The sequence below is a fragment of the Homo sapiens genome, chromosome 16, assembly GCF_000001405.40.
Source record: "Homo sapiens chromosome 16, GRCh38.p14 Primary Assembly".
In the NCBI taxonomy this organism is placed as follows: Eukaryota; Metazoa; Chordata; class Mammalia; order Primates; family Hominidae; genus Homo; species Homo sapiens.
Window position 1 is genome coordinate 16,590,363 of NC_000016.10, and position 18,234 is coordinate 16,608,596.

Consider the following 18,234-nt stretch of genomic DNA (forward strand, 5'->3'; position numbering starts at 1 on the left):
CTTGACAGCCAGTGTTAATTATTATTTTTTGATCCTGTGGGATAGGGCAACCCAGATACTCCGGTGGGAAACACTTGCAACCAGAGAACCTTGACTCAAAATCTTGGTCCTACTTGGTTTGAAGGATCCCATTGCATTTGCATTGCTGCCCCTTCTGAGAGGTTATTCACACTGATAAACCCCATTTTGCAACTTACACGTGCAGGATTCAGCTAATTGGACAGCAGTGGACACTGAACCTAAGGTGAAAAATCCAACAAATAGAGAGGACCAACTGAAAAATTCAGTTGCTTTCTTTTGAAGAATCTGAATACGAGACACAGAGAAAGGATTAGTAGTCAGTATTGAGGGCAGAAACAGAAACACAGAGAAGGAAAGTTATAAGAGGAAGCTTTGAGTCAGCAGAAGCTATGGGTGAATAGGAGCCATGAATTGACAGGAATTATGAGTCAGCAGAAACTTGAGTCGTGGCAAGAGCCACAAGTCAGCAGAAACTATGAGATAGAGAGTAGCATGGAGATAGCAGAGGAATAGGCCAAGACCCGGAGATGCTGCGTCACCATCTTGGTGGAGCCTAGAGGGCAGAGCTAGGATGGTCCCCTGAATTACAGAGCTGCTGTCAGTGATGAGTGTAACCTGAAGATGTTCCAGCCTCTGGCAGCCCTGACTGGGTGGTGAGACTTTGGCCTTCCAGCTTTCATAAAGTAAACTGAGAATATTTCTGTTTCTGGCCAACTTACAAGAATCTGACTGACACACTACCCATATCAAACTCCTCTGAGACTCAGTTTTCTTGCCTGTGAAATGGGGACAGCTAAATATACAAGTTGAATGGGTTGAGAAAACAAGATCCAATTATATTCTGTCTACAAGAGACTCATTTTACTTTTTAATTACAAATAAAAATTATATGTATATATGATATTTTGATATATGTATACAGCATGGAATGGCTAAATCAAGCTAATTAACATATATGTTACCTTGTATACTTGCTTTGGGCTGCTTAGCATCCCTTTTTTGGGGATACCAGCCTTTATTTGACATCTGCCAGTAACAGGATTCTACCTCTAAGGTGGCCACATAATCCAGGCCGGGCCCGTCAGAGCCTCATTGTAGAAATTTGCCTTCAGGTCAGGAGGTGGAAACCCTGAGAGAGTTCCTGGGTTCTGGGATATTCTAAGCTGTCCAGGCTCCTGTGTTTTCTTTGTTTTTAGAGACGGAGTCTAGCTCTGTCACCCAGGCTGGAGTGCAGGGGCACAATCTCGGTTCACTGCAACCTCCGCATCCTGGGTTCAAGTGATTCTCCTGCCTCAGCCTCCTGAGTAGCTGGGATTACAGGCATGCGCCACTATGCCCAGCTCATTTTTGTATTTTTAATAGAGATGGGGTTTTGCCATTTTTGGCTAGGCTGGTCTCAAACTCCTGACCTCAGGTGATCTGACCGCCTTGGCCTCCGAAAGTGCTAGGATTACAAGCGTGAGCCACCATGCCTGGCCGGCTCCTGTGTTTTCTAAGGCCAGTTTATTCAACTCTGTTTTCTTTCTGAGAGTTTCCGAATGGAGTCATCCCTTGGTATCCATGGGGGATTAGTTCCAGGACTTTCCATGGATACCAAACCCCACAGAAGCTCAAGTCCCTGATATAAAATGATGTAGTCTTTGCATTTAACTATGCACATCCTGCTGTATACTTTATTTTTATTTATTATTATTATTTTTGAGATGGAGTCTCCCTCTGTCACCCAGACTGGAGTGCAGTAGCGCAATCTTGGCTCACTGCAACCTCCGCCTCAGCTAGGTTCAAGCGATTCTCATGCCTCAGCCTCTTGAGTAGCTGGAACTACAGGTGTGTGCCACCACGCCCGGCTACTTTTTGTATTTTTAGTAGAGATGGGGTTTCACCATGTTGGTCAGGCTGGTCTTGAACTCCTGACCTCAAGTGTTCTGCCCATCGCGACCTCCCAAAGTGCTGGGATTACAGGCATGAGCCACCATGCCTGGCCCTCCTGTATACATTAGATTATCTCTAGATTACTCATAAAAATGAATACAATGTAAATGCCGTGTAAGTAGTTGCTATACTGCATTGTTTAGGGAATCATGACAAGAAAAGGAGTCTGTATGTGTTTAGTACAGATGGTTTTTGTTGTCGATTAAAAATATATATATATTTTATAGAGACGGGGCCTTGCTATGTTGCTCAGGCTGGTCTTGATCTTCTGGCCTCAAGTGATCCTCCTGCCTCAGCCTGCCAAAGTGCTGGGATTACAGGCATGAGCCACTGTGCCCAGCCTTCCTGAATATTTTTTTAATTCTCGGTTGGTTGAATCCATAGATGCGGAACTCACAGAGGCAGAGGGCCAACTGTAGCCTTCCTACAGATATTTTTATCTTGTTAAAGTAATAACCCTAACCTGACCCACACCTCACAGGTCTGTTGTGAAGTGACATAAGCCAGCACATAAGTGGAAAAGCTTGGTGAATGATTTAAAGGAATCTTCTGGCCTGGTGCGGGGGCTCACGCCTGTAATCCCAGCACTTTGGGAGGCCGGAGTGGGTGGATCACCTGAGGTCAGGAGTTTCAGACCAGCCTGGTCAACGTGGTGAAACCCCGTCTCTACTAAAAAAAATACAAAAATCAGCCCGGCATGGTGACGGGTGCCTGTAATCCCAGCTACTCGGGAGGCTGAGGCAGGAGAATCGCTTGAACCCAGGAGGCGGAGGTTGCAGTGAGCCAAGATCGTGCCACTGCACTCTAGCCTGGGGGACAAGAGTGAAACTCCGTCTCAAAAAATAAAAAAAGGAATCTTCTGGCCTCTGTTTCAGTTGAACAAAGTGAGGTCTAGAGAGGGGAGAAGTGAGCAGTTCCAGGTCGCATGGGCGGTCAGGGGTGAAAGGGGAGTGGGGACGTGAACTCCAGGCGGGTGCTCTTTCGCGCCTCCTGGTCGCTCCCTCCCCTTCCCTCCCCTTCCCTCCCCTTCCCTCCTCTTCCCTCCCCCGCTCTCCCTGATGTGCCTGCCTTCCCTACCTAACAGCTCTGAGTTCTGCCTACCTGAATTAGCCCAATGTTTTCACCCTTTGAAAGAAGATTCTAAGCCGAAACCAGCCCCCAGTTCCCCGTGGGCTTTGCCCACTCCTTGCCAAGCACTCTGAGTGCTACCCTTTCTCTTTCTGAATAGGGTGAGATACTTGACGCTGCCCTGAATCGAAGTCAAACGGGGGCTCCTCTCTGCAGTACCACAGAGCTCCCTGTAGGTGGCAGGGTAGGACTGCAAATGTCCTGGAATATTGGTCCCTGAGCGCAAGCCCAGACTGGAGCTGGGGTACAGCATTTACTTGCCGTGGGGAAGAGGAGGACGCCGGAGGGAGGAGGAAGGAAAGTAGAAGTGTTGCCAGTCTTGAGGCAAAAGAGAGTTGATTTGAGGGCCGAAGGACAGGAATAGTTGGTGTACCTCATCCGTCTATCTCTCCATCCACCTACCCACCTATATACCCAACTACCCTCCATCCATCCACCTACTCTCCATTCACCCACCCACTCACCCATCCACCCATCCACCCACCCACCCATCCATCTACCCATCCATCCATCCATCCATCCATCCACGCATTCATCCAAACACCCATCTATCCATCCACCCACCCATCCGTCCATGGGTTCATTCATCCATCCATCTACCAATCCACTCATCCATCCAATAAATATTTTTGAGCACCTGTGCTAAATGCATATACACACACACATATCTATGCACACACATACATACACACTGATATATATCACACACATGCATACACACACACGGAGAATAACCGGTACTGCCTTTTGTTGAGTGTCAAGGTTGCTTTTATCTCTCCAGCTGGAGATTTCTGCACCTGTCTGTAGCATCCATTACTAGCATCCCATTCCCAATATTATTATTCACTCCTTTACTTCCGAATATAAAGCAGATGTCATCTGGGGCCCTTTTTGCCCCTTCTGATTTCAATAAAATTTTCCCCAACGTCCTGTCTTCCTCCTCCTCCTCTATCCCATTCCTGAGGCATCTCAAGTCTTCCCTTGGATTTCTGTCAACTCCTGACTTTTCTGCCTCTAGAGCTTTGGCTCCTAGTAGGATATTTCTGACCTGCAGCATATCATATTCTTTGTTTTTAAAATTTATTATTGTTGGCCAGGTGCAGTGGCTCATGCCTGTAATCCCATCACTTTGGGAGACCGAGGCAGGTGGATCACCTGAGGTCAGGAGTTTGAGATTAACCTGGCCAACATGGTGAAATCCCGTTTCTACTAAAAATACAAAAATTAGCTGGATGTGGTGGCATGCTCCTGTAATCCCAGCTACTCGGGAGGCTGAGGCAGGAGAATTGCTTGAACCCGGAGGGAGAGGTTTCAGTGAGTCGAGATCTCGCCACTACTCCAGCGTGGACGACAGAGCAAGACTCCATCTCAAAAAAAACAAAAACAAAACCAAACAAGCAAACAAAAAAAAAAAAACAAGAAAAGGCAGCTCAGAGAGGTCAAGTGTCTAGCTTGAGGCCATACAGCTAACTGGGTCAGAACTGAGATTTGAACCCATGTATGTCTGACCTGGTGCTGGGCTCTTTTCTGTAGAGGATTCATCCAGCCCCACATACCTGGTCTAGAAGAAGGGAAGTGGTGGGAGAGGAGCACCCCAGAGAGAGGAGCCCGAATCATGGGGCTGCAAGCTGGTCCTGGGTCCCATGGAGCCATGGGGTGAGGAAGTGGCAGGGGCTACCACCAAACTCAGATGCGGGCCCAAGGCTGGTTGGGGGAGAGGACCCTGGCTGTGGGTGCCCATCTGCCAGCTTGTATGAAGGAGTAGGCGGGGTAGGTGGGAGAAGGGAAGTGGTGCTTCGGTGGGACCACAGGAAACGCTAGATTTTGGTTAGTAGTTGGAAAGTACCAGCAATTTCTCTTTCAACAGAAAACCAGAAGGAGGTCAGGTTTTTCTTATTAAAACAGAGACAAATGCAGACTTTGCAAAGGAAGCAGGGATTTGCAGAGTGAGGCTGGAAGTCACCGAAGCTGAGTGATATTCCCCAGAGAAAGGTTTTACATTCATGTGGAGTGGGTCAGAGGACCTTGAGTTGAGCTGATGAGCAGCCACAGGATGGCACCAGGTTTTCACGATATGGAGAGAAGGGGACCTGGTGGTGGTTTGGCCACCGTGTCCTGTTTCCTGAAGAACAGAGGGTGTACGTGACAGCTGGGGCCTCATAGCCAGTTACTGCCAGCAGGACTCCATCTCAATTCAGATCTTACTTCATGGGACTACACAGAAAGAAGGAAAGCCAGGCCGGGCATGGTGGCTCATGCCTGTAATCCCAGCACTTTGGGAGGCTGGGGTGGGCAGATCAATAGAGGCCAGGAGTTCGAGACCAACCTGACCAGCCTTCACCAATGGTGAAGCCCATCTCTACTAAAAGTACAAAAATTAGCTGGGCGTGGTGACGGGCGCTTGTAATCCCAGCTACTTGGGAGGCTGAGGCAGGAGAATGGCTTGAACCCGGGAGGCAGAGGTTGCAGTGAGGCGAGATTGCACCACTGCACTCCAGCCTGGGTGACAGAGCGAGACTCGGTCTCAAAAAAAGAAAAAAAAAAAAAAAAGCTGGGCTTCGTGAAGGGCTCACACCTGTAATCCCAGCACTTTGGGAGGATCACTTTGGGTGGATTGCTTGAGCCCAGGAGTTTGAGACCAGCCTGAGCAACATAGCGAGACTCCATCCTTACAAAAGATAAGAAAACAAAAGACAGAAGGAGTGGTTTGGAGCTATGCAAGTGTCCCTCTTGGCTCTGGCAATTTCTGGGTGGATAACCTTGGGTAGCACCCTTCTCTTTGAATCTAAGTTTCCTTATCTAAACTGGCGATGATAAGACCTCCCTTGCTATGTTGTTATAAAATTACTTGTGTGCCTAGCCCAGAGTAGGTGTGCAATGAATGAGTAAATGGATGAATGGCTAAATTCCACACATATTTATGGAGTGCTAAGTCTGTGTCAGGCATTACCTTGGGGACACAGCTGGAAGTGAACAAGCCCCAGTCTTCGGTTTTTAGGAGCCCACATTCTGGCAGAAGAGACAGGAAGTAGCTGGGCAGGGTGGCTCATGCCTATAATCCCAGCACTTCGGGAGGCTGAGGTGGGCTGATCACCTGAGGTCAAGAGTTTGAGAACAGCCTGGCCAACATGGTGAAACCCCATCTCTACTAAAAATACAAAAATTAGCCAGGCATGGTGGCATGCACCTGTAATCCTAGCTACTCGGGGGGCTGAGGCAGGGAAATCGCTTGAACCCGAGAGGTGGAGGTTGCAGTGAGCCGAGATCGAGCCACCACACTCCAGCTTGGGTGACAGACTGAAACTCCATCTCAAAAAAAAAAAAAAAGAGAGCCAGGAAGTAAGTGAGACAGATAAGATCAACACAGAGCATGCTAAACAGAAAAGTAGGAAAGACATACTATTCAGTGTTGGGGTGGGTGGGGAGATTAATATTTCAGAAAGGGTAGCCTGGGAAGGGCTCATTGAGAAGCTGACTGTTGAATAAAGATTGGCAGGAATTACGCAACCAGCCGTGTAGATCTCTGGGAGAGGAGAATTCCGGGGAGAAGGGACAGTCAGTGCAAAGGCCCTTAGGCCAGAGCATGCTTGGGGTTCAAGAAACAGAGTGAGTGCCAGTGTGCCTGAAGCCCAGTACAGAAGGGAGAAGGTTGTCGGAGATGAAGGCAAAGAGGTAATGACGGGTGGGTTAGAGTTTGCAGGGCCTTTGGAAGCTGTGAGAAGGATTTTGGCTTTTTTTCTGGGTCAGAGGGGAGCCAGTGCAGGAGTTTGAGCAGAGGAGTGGCATATTACGGTTCTCCAGAGAAAGGGAACCAACAGGATATACACATGTCTACATTAATCAATTAATTATTTTGAGGGGGTTCTCCAGAGAAAGGGAACCAACAGGATATACACATGTCTACATTAATCAATTAATTAATTTTGAGATTGAGTTTCGCTCTTTCACCCAGGCTGGAGTGCAGTGGCACGATCTCGGCCTACTGCAACCTCCATCTCCTGGGTTCAAGTGATTCTCATGCTTCAGCATCCCAAGTAGCTGGGATTACAGGTGCCCGCCACCACACCTGGCTAGTTTTTGTACTTGAGACAGGGTTTCACCATGTTGGCCAGCCTGGTCTCGAACTCCTGACCTCAGGTGTTCCACCCGCCTCATTCTTCCCAAGTGCTGGGATTACAGGCATGAGCCACCATGCCCGGCCTATATTAATTTCTTTACAGAGATTTATTATAATGAATTGGCTCGCATGATTATGGAGGCCGAGAAGTCCCAAGATCGGCAGCTGGCAAACAGGAGACCCAGGAGAACTGATGATTTAGCTCCAGTGTGAGGCCCAAAGACCCTGTGAGTTCCCAGGAGAGCCAATGACATAAGTTCTGGTCCTAACGCGAGCAGACTTGAGATGCAGGAAAAGCCAATGTTTCAGTTCAAGTCTCAGGGTGGAAAAGCACAGTGTCCCAGCCCAAGCAGGCAGGCAGCAGGAGTTCTCTTGTACTGTGCCTTTTTGTTCTATATGGGCCTTCAACGGATTGGATGGGGCCCACCCACATTAGGGAGGGCGACTTGCTCTATTCAGTCTGCAGTTCAAATGTGAATCTCACCCAGGAACACCCTTACAGACACACACTCACAATAATGTTTGAACAAAAATATCTGGGGGCCAGGCATGGTGGCTCACACCTGTAGTCCCAGCACTCTGGAAAGCCAAAATGCGTGGATCACTTGAGGCCAGGAGTTTGAGACCAGCCTGAGCAACATGACAAAACCCTGTATCTATAAAAAAAAATACAAAAATTAGCTGGTATGATGGCACCACATGTGGTACCAGCTACTCAGGAGGCTAAGGTGGAAGGATCGTCTGAGTTCAGGGAGGTTGAGGCTGCAGTGAGCCATGACTGACTGTGCCACCGCACTCCAGCCTGAGCGACAGAGCAAGACCTTGTCTCAAAAAAAAAAAAAAAAAAAAAAAATCTGGGCAGCCCGTGGCCCAGTCAAACTGACACATCAAATTGACCATCCCAAGTGGCTTCACTGGATGTAGCTTTCTACAGGCTCTCTCTGGCTGTGGTGTTGAGAATAGTATGAAGGTAGGGGTAGGGTTGGGGAGTCAGAAGCAGGAAGGTGAATTTGGTGGCTACCATATAGTCATCCAGGTAAGTGTGGTGGTGGCTTGGACTAAAGTGGTAGTAAGAGGTGTGACGAGGTTATTAGATTCTGGATGTATTTTGAAAGGAGTGCAGATGGGGTGAGAGAGAGAAGAAGAGAAATAATGGGTGACCTGTGGTTTTTGGCTTCAGCACCTTAAAGAATGAGGTTGCCACTGATTGAGAAGGGAGTATCAGGAGTATGGCGGACACGTTGAGTGTGAGAAATGTAAGCTTTGGAGGAGATGTGGGGTCAGCAGGTAGATGTCCATGCCTGGAGTCCAGCAGAGCAGCCTGGGCCAGACAGCTGGATTTGGGAGCTGTCATTAGCACCTGCCTGGCTGTCTTCATTATTGCATCAAGAGTGGCTCTTGGTTGCAAGTAACAGAAAACCTGGCTGCAGGCCAGACATGGTGGCTCACGCCTGTAATCCCAGCACTTTGGGAGGCCGAGGTGGGTGGATCACCTGAGGTCAGGAGTTTGAGACCAGCCCGGCCAACACGGTGAAACCCTGTCTCTACTAAAACTACAAAAATTAACCGGGTGTGGTGGCATGTGCCTGTAATCTCAGCTACTCAGGAGGCTGAGGCAGGAGAATCGCTTGAACCTGGGAGGCAGAGTTTGGGTAAGCTGAGATTGCACCATTGTACTCCAGCCTGGGTGACACAGCAAAACTCCATCTCAGAAAAAGAAAACTTAGTTGCCTTGAGCAAAAACAGAAATTATTGGAAAACTCTAGGGGTCCACAAACCCACCAGGAAGCTGGGGATCCAGGCTGGGGAAATGAGTGGGGGCCAAGGAGGCTGTGAAGATCTGAGCAGCGGCAGCCACAGAAAAGGCCCCGGCAGGAGCAATCCGGTCCTAAAACCCCCATGGCTACCATGTGGATAGGCCCTCCTGCGGCCCCTTGCTGGGATCACCGCTCATGATGCAGAGTCTGAGGAGAGCAGCTCATTGGTTCAACCAAGCCACATGACCTTCAGGCTGGGGTGCAGGGAGGGAGGCCTGGCCACTTAGGGTTTCCATTTTCTTTTTTCTGAGACAGAGTCTCGCTCTGTCACGCAGGCTGGAGTGCAGTGGTGTGATCTCAGCTCACTGCAACCTCCGCCTCCCGGATTCAAGTGATTCTCCTGCCTCAGCCTCCCCAGTAGCTATGATTACAGGTGCGTGCTACCATGCTTGCCTAATTGTTGTATTTTTAGTAGAGACGGGGTTTCACCATGATGACCAGGCTGGTCTTGAACTCCTGACCTTAAGTGATCCACCCGTCTCGGCCTCTCAAAGTGTTGAGATTACAGGCGTGAGCCACTGCACCCAGCCCACTGAGGGTTTCCTAGTGGAGGAGGAGGCCACCATCCCCTCATTGTGGTGTTTATAATGGGGAACTCCCAGAGGAGCCACCAGGGTAAAAGAGGAAGAGATGAGATGTTGGACTGGCATAAAAAAAGAAAAGCAGACCAAAACTCCAGCGTGACAGCAGCAAAGCCCATCACAACTGCATCATAATTATCATCAGCAGCAATAGCAGCTGGAGTGATTTCTTTTCTTTTTTTGAGACAGGGTCTTGCTCTATCACACAGGCTGGAGTACAGTGGTGTGATCGTAGCTCACTGCAGCCTCGACCTCCCAGGCTCAAGCAGTCCTCCTGCCTCAGCCTCTTGAGCAGCTGGGACTACAGGCACAAGCCACTATACCAGGCTAAGTTAAAAAAAAAAAAAAAAGTGTAGAGATGGAGTCTCACTTAGGCTGGTCTTGAACTCCTGGCCTCAAGCAATCCTCCTACCTCGGCCTCCCAAAATGCTGGGATTACAGGCAGGAGCCACCTTGCCAGGCTGATCTTTTAAATTCTTTCAGCGTCAAAGCCAAAGTTTTCTCAATGTCCTAAAAGGCCCCAGGCCCTCTGCCCTCCCTCCCCTGCTACCCCGCCCTGTGGCCTCTCTGACCTCATCTCCTGTTGTTCCTGCCTTGCTCATTCTTCCCCAGCCTCACTGGTCCCCTGGCTGCGGCTCCAAAACGCTGGCCACTCCTGCCCCAGGACACTTGCCTTTGCTCTCTTCCGTGCCCTTCCCAGACATCCCCACGACTTGCTCCCTTACTGCCTTCAGGCTTCTCTCTCTCTCTCTCTCTCTTTTTTTTTTTTTTTTGGAGATGGAGTCTCACTCTGTTGCCCAGGCTGGAGTTCAGTGGTGTGATCTTGCCTCACTGCAACCTCCATCTCTTGGGTTCAAGTGATCCTTCTGCCTCAGCCTCCTGAGTAGCGGGGGTTACAGGCGCATGCCACCATGCCCGGCTAATATTTGTATTTTTAGTAGAGATGGGGTTTTGCCATGTTGGCCAGGCTAGTTTCAAATTCCTGGCCTCAAGTGATCTGCCTGCCTCAGCCTCCCAAAGTGCTGTGATTACAGGCATGCGCCACGGTGCCCCGCTGAGACTTTTCTCCAATGTGACCTTCTCAGCCAGACATCCTTGATGATGCCATTTACATTTGCAATGCTCCCTCTATCCCATCTCCTCCCAGGAATGCCTCTTCATGTCTTTGCTTTTTTTTTTTTTCCCCCACAGAACTTCTCATCATCTTCATGCTACATATCTCTGTTTCTTGTGTATCTCCCTCCTCCATGTGGATGGGGGTTTCCAGAACCGAGCCTGGTATGGAGCAGGCGGTCAGGATTTGCTCTTGAATGAAGGATGGGGGTTCACTCCCTGGAGCTATGTTGGGAGCCCTGTTCTGAGGAGCTCTGGCTTCGTGGGTCCCCAGGACCCAGGGTAAGACAGTCCACTCCTTGGGCAATGACTGGGACCAGTACCTGGGGAGGTTGGGGCCCTTCATCCCAACTCAGTCCCATCCTTGAGGGAATCAACTGTGACTCACAGCTAACAGGGTGAGCAGAGCTGCTTCTTCAGTCACGAATGAAAATAACCTTGTCTCTGTAAACAAACAGCTCTCAATTTATTCATTGGGAAGAAAGAAGTGTGTGTGGAAAGAAGGAGGCACTTTCCTGGGGGGCGGAGTGTCAGAGTGTTAGACTTGAGTTACTCAGAGTAATTGATTCACGATGCTGCGTGTCAGGGGTGTTACATCTAATCGGGAGCTGTCCATACAATTTCTCACTAATTGTCACTGGGCGCCATAACAGGATAATGACTGTTGGGGCACAAGAGACTTGGATGTGGTGAGCCAAGGGTATCATTTTGATTTTTGTTTTGAGATGTGCTGGAACTCAGATGACCCTCCTTACCGAAAGGCTCCATCCCTTTAAATTTTTTTTTTTTTTTTTTTAAGAGATGATGTTTTTCTGCGCTATGTTGCCCAGGCTGGTCTCAAACTCCTGGGCTTAAGTGATCCTTCCACTTCAGTCTCCCAAGTAGTGGGGAATGCAGGTGTGAGCCACTGCACCCGACTGAAAAGCTCATTCTTTTTTTGTTGAGACAGGGTCTCACGCTGTCACCCAGACTTGGAGTGCAGTGGCGTGCTCACGGCTCACTCTAGCCTTGACCTCTCAGGCTCAAGCTATCCTTCCATCTCATTCTCCCAGGTAGGTGGGACTACAGGCATGTGCCACCATGCCTGGCTAATTTTTTTATTTTTTGTAGAGACGGGGGTCTCACTATGTTGCCCAGGCTAGTCTCACACTCCTGAGCTCAAGCGATCCTCCCACCTTGGCCTCCCAACATGCTGGGATTACAGGCATGTGGAAGGTTCATTGTTTAGCCAGAGTTTTGTTCTGGACCGGAGACAATCTAGAGGGATGCAGACCTGGGCTTGGACCACCAGAGGTCTGGCTGGACCCCTGGGGGCCAGAAGTGCCTAGTTGAGGGGTATCTTCTTGGACTCGTTACTTACTCCTCACTTTGAACCTGTCACCAAGTGTGTCAGTTTTGCCTCTAAAGCATCTGTCAGCTCTGTCCACTTCTCTCCACTCCCACTGCCACCCCCTGCTTTCACCTGGTGACCACAGACGCTGCTTAGCTTCTGCTCTGTCTCTTATTCCCTTCCCTTTGCCTCTACCCGGGAGCATACATGTAATGGTGACAGTTCCCTGCATAACACACTGCAGCGGTCCCATTCCCTTGAGGATGAAGACCAAAATCCTTAACATGGCTCAAGAGATCCCACAACCATCTGGCCCCTGCCCACTTCTCAGCCTCACTGTTCACCATTTTCTCCAGGCAAAAGGAAGGACCAGTGACCTAAGAATGCCATGGGGCTGCTGCCCTCATTTTGCACTCTAGGATTTTGACCTTATTATTTCCTGTGCATGGGATGCTTTCTTCCCCTCCCTCCCTCCCTTTCTTCCTTCCTTCCTTCCATCCATCCTCTTTCTTTCTCTCTCCTCTCCCTCTCTCTCTCTCCCTCCCTCCCTCCCCTCCCCTGCCTCCCTTCCTCCTCCTCCTCCTTCTTTCCCCTCTCTCTCTCTTTCTTTTTGAGACAGGGTCTCATTCTGTCACCCAGGCTGGAGTGCAGTAGTGTGATCGTGGCTCACTGCAGCCTCAACCTCCTGGGCTCAAGTGATCCTCCCACCCTAGCCTCCTGAGGAGCTGGATACCACTGTGTGCAGTGAGTGCATGCCACTGTGCCCAGCTAATTTTTTGTATTTTTTGCAGAGATGGAGGTTTTGCCACGTTGCACAGTCTGGTCTCAAACTCCTGGGCTCAAGTGATCTGCCCACCTCGGCCTCCCAAAGTGCTGGGATTACAGGCATGAGCCACCGCACCTGGCCTAGGAGCTGCTTCTTAGATCTTCCGCAGCTCTTTCTCATCACCAGCTAAAATGCTGTATTCTGGTAGCATTGTCTTTATCCTCCTCTGGACTGTATCTCTCTTGAAGTCTTCCATTCCAGTTCATTTCTCCTGAGCCTAGTACAATAATACATAGAAAGCGCTGGGATATTTTTAAAAATACTAATGTTTAGAATCAATTTTAATTCCTTCTGTAAAAAATATACGTATTTTGCCTTTTTAAAAAAATGCAAAACTGGGCCAGGTTTAGTGGGGCATGCCTCTAGTCCCAGCTACTTGGGAGGCTGAGGTGGGAGGATGGCTGGAGCCCAGGAGTTCGAGGCTGCAGTGAGCCATGATTGCACCACTGCACTCCAACCTGGGCAATAGAGTGAGATCCTATCTCAAAAAAAAAAAAAAAAAAAAAAAAGGAAAACTCAAGTCCTTTTAGTGATCACACCAAGTTCCTGCACCTTGTCGCTTTTTTATTTTATTTTATTTTATTTTTTTGAGACAGAGTCTTGCTCTGTCTCCCAGGCTGAAGTGCAGTGGCATGATACCAACTTACTGCAACCTCCGCCTCCTGGGTTCAAGCGATTCTCCTGCCTCAGCCTCCTGAGTAGCTGGGATTACAGGCATGTGCCACCATGACTGGCTAAATTTTTTGTATTTTTAGTAGAGACAGGGTTTCACCATGATGGTCAGGCTGGTTTTGAACTCCTGGCCTCAAGTGATCCTTCTGCCTTGGCCTCCCAAAGTGCTGGGATTACAGGCGTGAGCCATCACGCTCGGCCAGCCCTTGTTTTTATGAACATCGTGTATCCTTAAGGACCTTCAAATACTTCTGCATCCATTTGTATGCATCTTTAGTTTTGTTCTGAAAACCTCAAGATATAGCACGCTATGTGTATAGTTTGCAACTTGAATTTTTTTCACTCAACACTGTGTTTCTGAGACCAATCCTCGCTGATACATAGAGAGCTAGTTAATTCCTCCTGCCTTCTGCATAGCATCTCACTATGTTATTAATTGCCTTTTGTTTTCTCAAGCTATTTCTGTGTTGATGGGCATTTGTGTTGTGTCTACTGCCTTGCTATTGAAAATAGCACTTCAGTGCGTGCACCGCGTAGGCCTCTGTGTACTACCGTGAAGTGTTTCCTGAGGCCAGTAGTTCTCAACTTGGCTGCAGACAGAATCACCTGAACGTTTTTTTTTTAACAATCACACCAACTCTCTGCCTTTCCCCAAATTCTTAATTGAATGGTTCAGGGTAGGCATCGGCAGTTTTAGAAGCTCCAGGGTGCTTCTAAATGTGCATTCAGGGTTGAGACCTGCTGTTCTGGGGTGTACATTGGGGATGTTGGTGTTGCAATGACTGGGCCAAAAGAAGAACCCAACCCCGTGTTTTACCAGGCTCTGCCCAATTGCCTTTCAAGGTGACTGAACTGATCTACATCCTGCTGGCAGTGTGTGAGCGAATAATGACTGTTTTGTGTGAACAAGTGACTACCAGTCACTGCAGGTCAGTGAACCAGAGCGTTCTCCACTGCACAAACTGCCTCCAAGTGGCTCATCACCATGGGCTACAGCCCACAAACGTCTGAGCTTGGAATGCTTTGTGTCCTTAGGTGGCAGCTTGGTGCAGCTGAAAAGGTGCCAGGCTGCTAATGGGACAATTCGGAGTCCAGTTCAGACCCAGGTTCTACCTTGCTATGTGTCCTCCCAGGTCACATCCCCACACTGAGCCTCAGCATCCCTGCCCTTGGAGGGAGGAGAGCTGGAAACTCACCTGCGGTCATTTTCATGTTTCTCTTCTGTCTGAGCCACACGTTACTTGCAGCCTGTGGTCTGAGCATGGGCGTTAGAGCCCAGTCCTGAATAGTTTCTGCACTGTGGGCCCTGTTGGTATCTGGGGAAGCCTATTACCCTTCTCAGAGCAATGTTTCTTTTTCTTCTCTTTTCTTTCTTTTCTTTTCTTTCATTTTTTGTTTGAGACAGAGTCTCGCTCTGTCACTGAGGCTGGAGTGCAGTGGCATGATCTTGGCTCACTGCAACCTCTACATCCTGGGTTCGAGTGATTATCCTGCCTTAGTCTCCTGAGTAGCTGGGATTACAGGTGCCTGCCACCACGCCCGGCTAATTTTTGTATTTTTAGTAGTGATGGGGTTTCACCATGCTGGCCAGGCTGGTCTCAGACAGCTGACCTCAGGTGATCCACCCGCCTTGGCCTCCCAAAGTGCTGGGATTACAGGCGTGAGCCACCTCGCCCGGCCTTTTTTTTTTTTTTTTTTTTTTAGAGACGGAGTGTCCCTGTGTCCCTCTGTCACCTAGGCTGGAGTGCAGTGGCTTCATCTCAGCTCACTGACCTCCGCCTCCCAGGTTCAAGTGCTTCTCCTGCCTCAGTCTCCCAAGTAGCTGGGACTATAGGCATGCACCACCACGCCCAGCTAATTTTTGTGTTTTTCAGTAGAGATAGGGTTTCACCATGTTGGCCAGGCTGGTCTTGAACTCCTGGCCTCAAGTGATCTGCCTGCCTTGGCCTCCCAGAGCACTGGGATTACAGGTGTGAGCCACTGCTCCCAGCCTCTGAGCAATGTTTCTAAATATGAAATCCAAAGGCTTGTGAAGACAACTGATTATATGGAAATACAGCTGATATAAATATTACAAAATTATTACAAAAATATTACAAAGCCAAACTGTGATATAGCAATACCCATGCCTCTTTATTAACACACCAAATAAGGCGATCTGATGGTGGGTTGGCAACATTATTACGATTGCAGTTTAAAGCAGTGATGAGTGTAAATGATATTCCAACATCTTTGCAACAAATGTAACAGGACATGAAAATATCTGTGATTCCTGTTGGTGACAAAGTTACAGGTTCTGTTGACACGACGGCAGTTTGCTGCCTACACTCATAATGGAAAGAATTGCTACATTGCAGTTTGATGTTAGTAAAATTAAGAGGTCTATTTTTTCTTCCGAGTTCATTGAGTTCATTGATTGCAGGTTACTGGCCCTTGCTAGAGTTATATAGACTTGAGTTTCTTTCTTTTTTGTGAGTTTTTTTTTTTTTTTTGACGGAGTCTTGCTCGTCGTTCAGGCTGGAGTGCAGTGGCACGATCTCGGTTCACCGTAACCTCCACCTCCCGAGTTCAGGCGATTCTCCTGCTTCAGCCTCCTGAGTAGCTGGGATTACAGCATGTGCTACCACGCTCAGCTAATTTGTGCATTTTTAGTAGAGACAGGGTTTCACCATGTTGGTCAGGCTGGTCTCGAACTCCTGACCTCAGGTGATATGCCCCCTCCCCTCCTTGGCCTCCCAAACTGCTAGGATTACAGGTGTGAGCCATTGTGCCCTGCTTTTTTGTGGCTTTTTAAAAATTTTTATTTTGTAGAGACGAAGTCTCACTGTGTTGTCCAGGCTGGTCTTGAGCTCCTGAGCTCAGGTGATCTTTCTGCCTCAGACTCCCAAAATGCTGGGATTACAGGCATAAACCACCATCCCAGGCTAGACATGGGTTTCAATCTCTGCTCTATAGCTTCCTGTGTGGGTGCATTTGGGTAAATTCCTTTTCTTTCCTGAGTCTCAGTTTCCTCAACTGTAAAATGCATGTAAGACAGTGAGCTCCTAGGGTGCTGGGAAGAGTAAATGTGACAAATCAAATTCAACACACATTTGTAGAGAACTTTTGATGTGCTCAGGGCCATTTTCGGTGCCAGGATGCTGGACCGAATGAGAAGGGCAAAATCCTTGCCCCTCTGGAGTTTACAGTTCGGGGGCAGAGACAATGAATAATGAGGCAGATAAGTAAATAACGGTTTCAGATAATACTAAGGGCAATGAAGAAAATAGTACAGGTGATATGAAAGGGAACAAATGCCTGGTGCAGGTGACATTAAATAGGGCAATTAGGTAATAATACAGACAGAAATGAACAATATTGATGCATAAGACGAGAGAATGTATTTGAAGTATCAGCTCGGCACCTGGTACGTGGTGTATGTTCCATTTGTGCTGGCCACGGTGATGATGATGATGATGCCATCTCTCCGGCTACACTGCGAGCACAGATCACAGCTCTCTGTAGCTGATGCTGGCTCTACCCACTGTATTCGGGGCTGGATGAAGGTGGGGCCATGGAAGCGTTCTACACAAGAACTCAGCAGTCCTGTTGGAGCCAGATTGGAAGGAAGCAGGTCTGATTAAAGGAAGATAAAGTCTTCTCTCTGCTAAGTCTCGCAGGGAGAGCTAGGCAATCAATAGGTCTCGCAGATCAGTGGAGGGTGCTTGGAATCTGGCAGCATGGGGCTTTTTAATTAAACCTATAACTGTGAGAAAAGGTAACTGCCTTATTTCTGCAGCTTGTGTTTCTGTCTGCCTGCCAGAAACTGAACAAATCAATGCACTTCCAGAGGTTCTGAGGATCTTGACAAGGGGGCCTCTGGTTTTGGGATGGCCAGACCCTGCAGGGATAAACTCTCGAGTGGCCAGGGTGTCAGGTACCAATTCTGGAGGGTCAGGTGTTGCCTTTTACATTTAAATACCCATAGCAGGTGTGATTAGCAACTGCAATTCAGGGGAAGGCGAGGCCCCTTCCCAGCCAGCAGCAGCTTGCCTTCCAGGATTTTATACCAAGCTGGCCCCCTACCACCACAAGATGTCAACATTCCTTTTTTTAATAGAAGATTTTCTTTTATTGTGGGCCAGGCATGGCGGCTTGCTCCTATAATCCCAGCACTTTGGGAGGCCGAGGCTGGCAGATCACTTGAGGTCAGGAGTTCCAGACTATCCTGGTCAACATGGAGAAACCCCTGTCTCTACTAAAAATACAAAATTAGCTTGGCATGGTGGTGTATGCCTGTAATCCCAGCTACTCAGAAGGCTGAGGCACGATCATCATTTGAATCCGGGAGGCAGAGGTTGCAGTGAGCTGAGATCACACCATTGCACTCCAGCCTGGGCAACAGAGTGAGTCTCCATCTCAAAAAAAAAAAAAAAAAAAAAAAAAGATTTTCGTTTATCATGAAGTAGAATTATGCTGTTTAGGGTATGGTCCATGCACCAGCATCACAGCATCATCTGCTGGGAATGTGTCAGAGATACAGAACTCCAGCCCCACCCCAGACCTACTCAGTTAGAATCTGCATTTTAACCAGATCATCAGGAATTCATATGCATATTGATGTGTGAGAGGCACTGAAATTGAACATACATATGAGACTTAGAAGACAAAGAAGCCAAATGCCAATATGCAGACCTTATTTAAATCCTGAGAGAGTT

At 48.5% G+C, this 18,234-nt stretch overlaps 2 annotated features.

The window, feature by feature from the left end:
• Positions 9,689–10,189: an enhancer, noted in NCBI's record as "H3K4me1 hESC enhancer chr16:16693908-16694408 (GRCh37/hg19 assembly coordinates)". NCBI's record gives its function as "activates a minimal SCP1, AML or CMV promoter by ChIP-STARR-seq in primed H9 embryonic stem cells {active_cell/tissue: H9 hESC(primed)}" and the evidence as "EXISTENCE:reporter gene assay evidence [ECO:0000049][PMID:30033119]".
• Positions 10,190–10,690: an enhancer, noted in NCBI's record as "H3K4me1 hESC enhancer chr16:16694409-16694909 (GRCh37/hg19 assembly coordinates)". NCBI's record gives its function as "activates a minimal SCP1, AML or CMV promoter by ChIP-STARR-seq in primed H9 embryonic stem cells {active_cell/tissue: H9 hESC(primed)}" and the evidence as "EXISTENCE:reporter gene assay evidence [ECO:0000049][PMID:30033119]".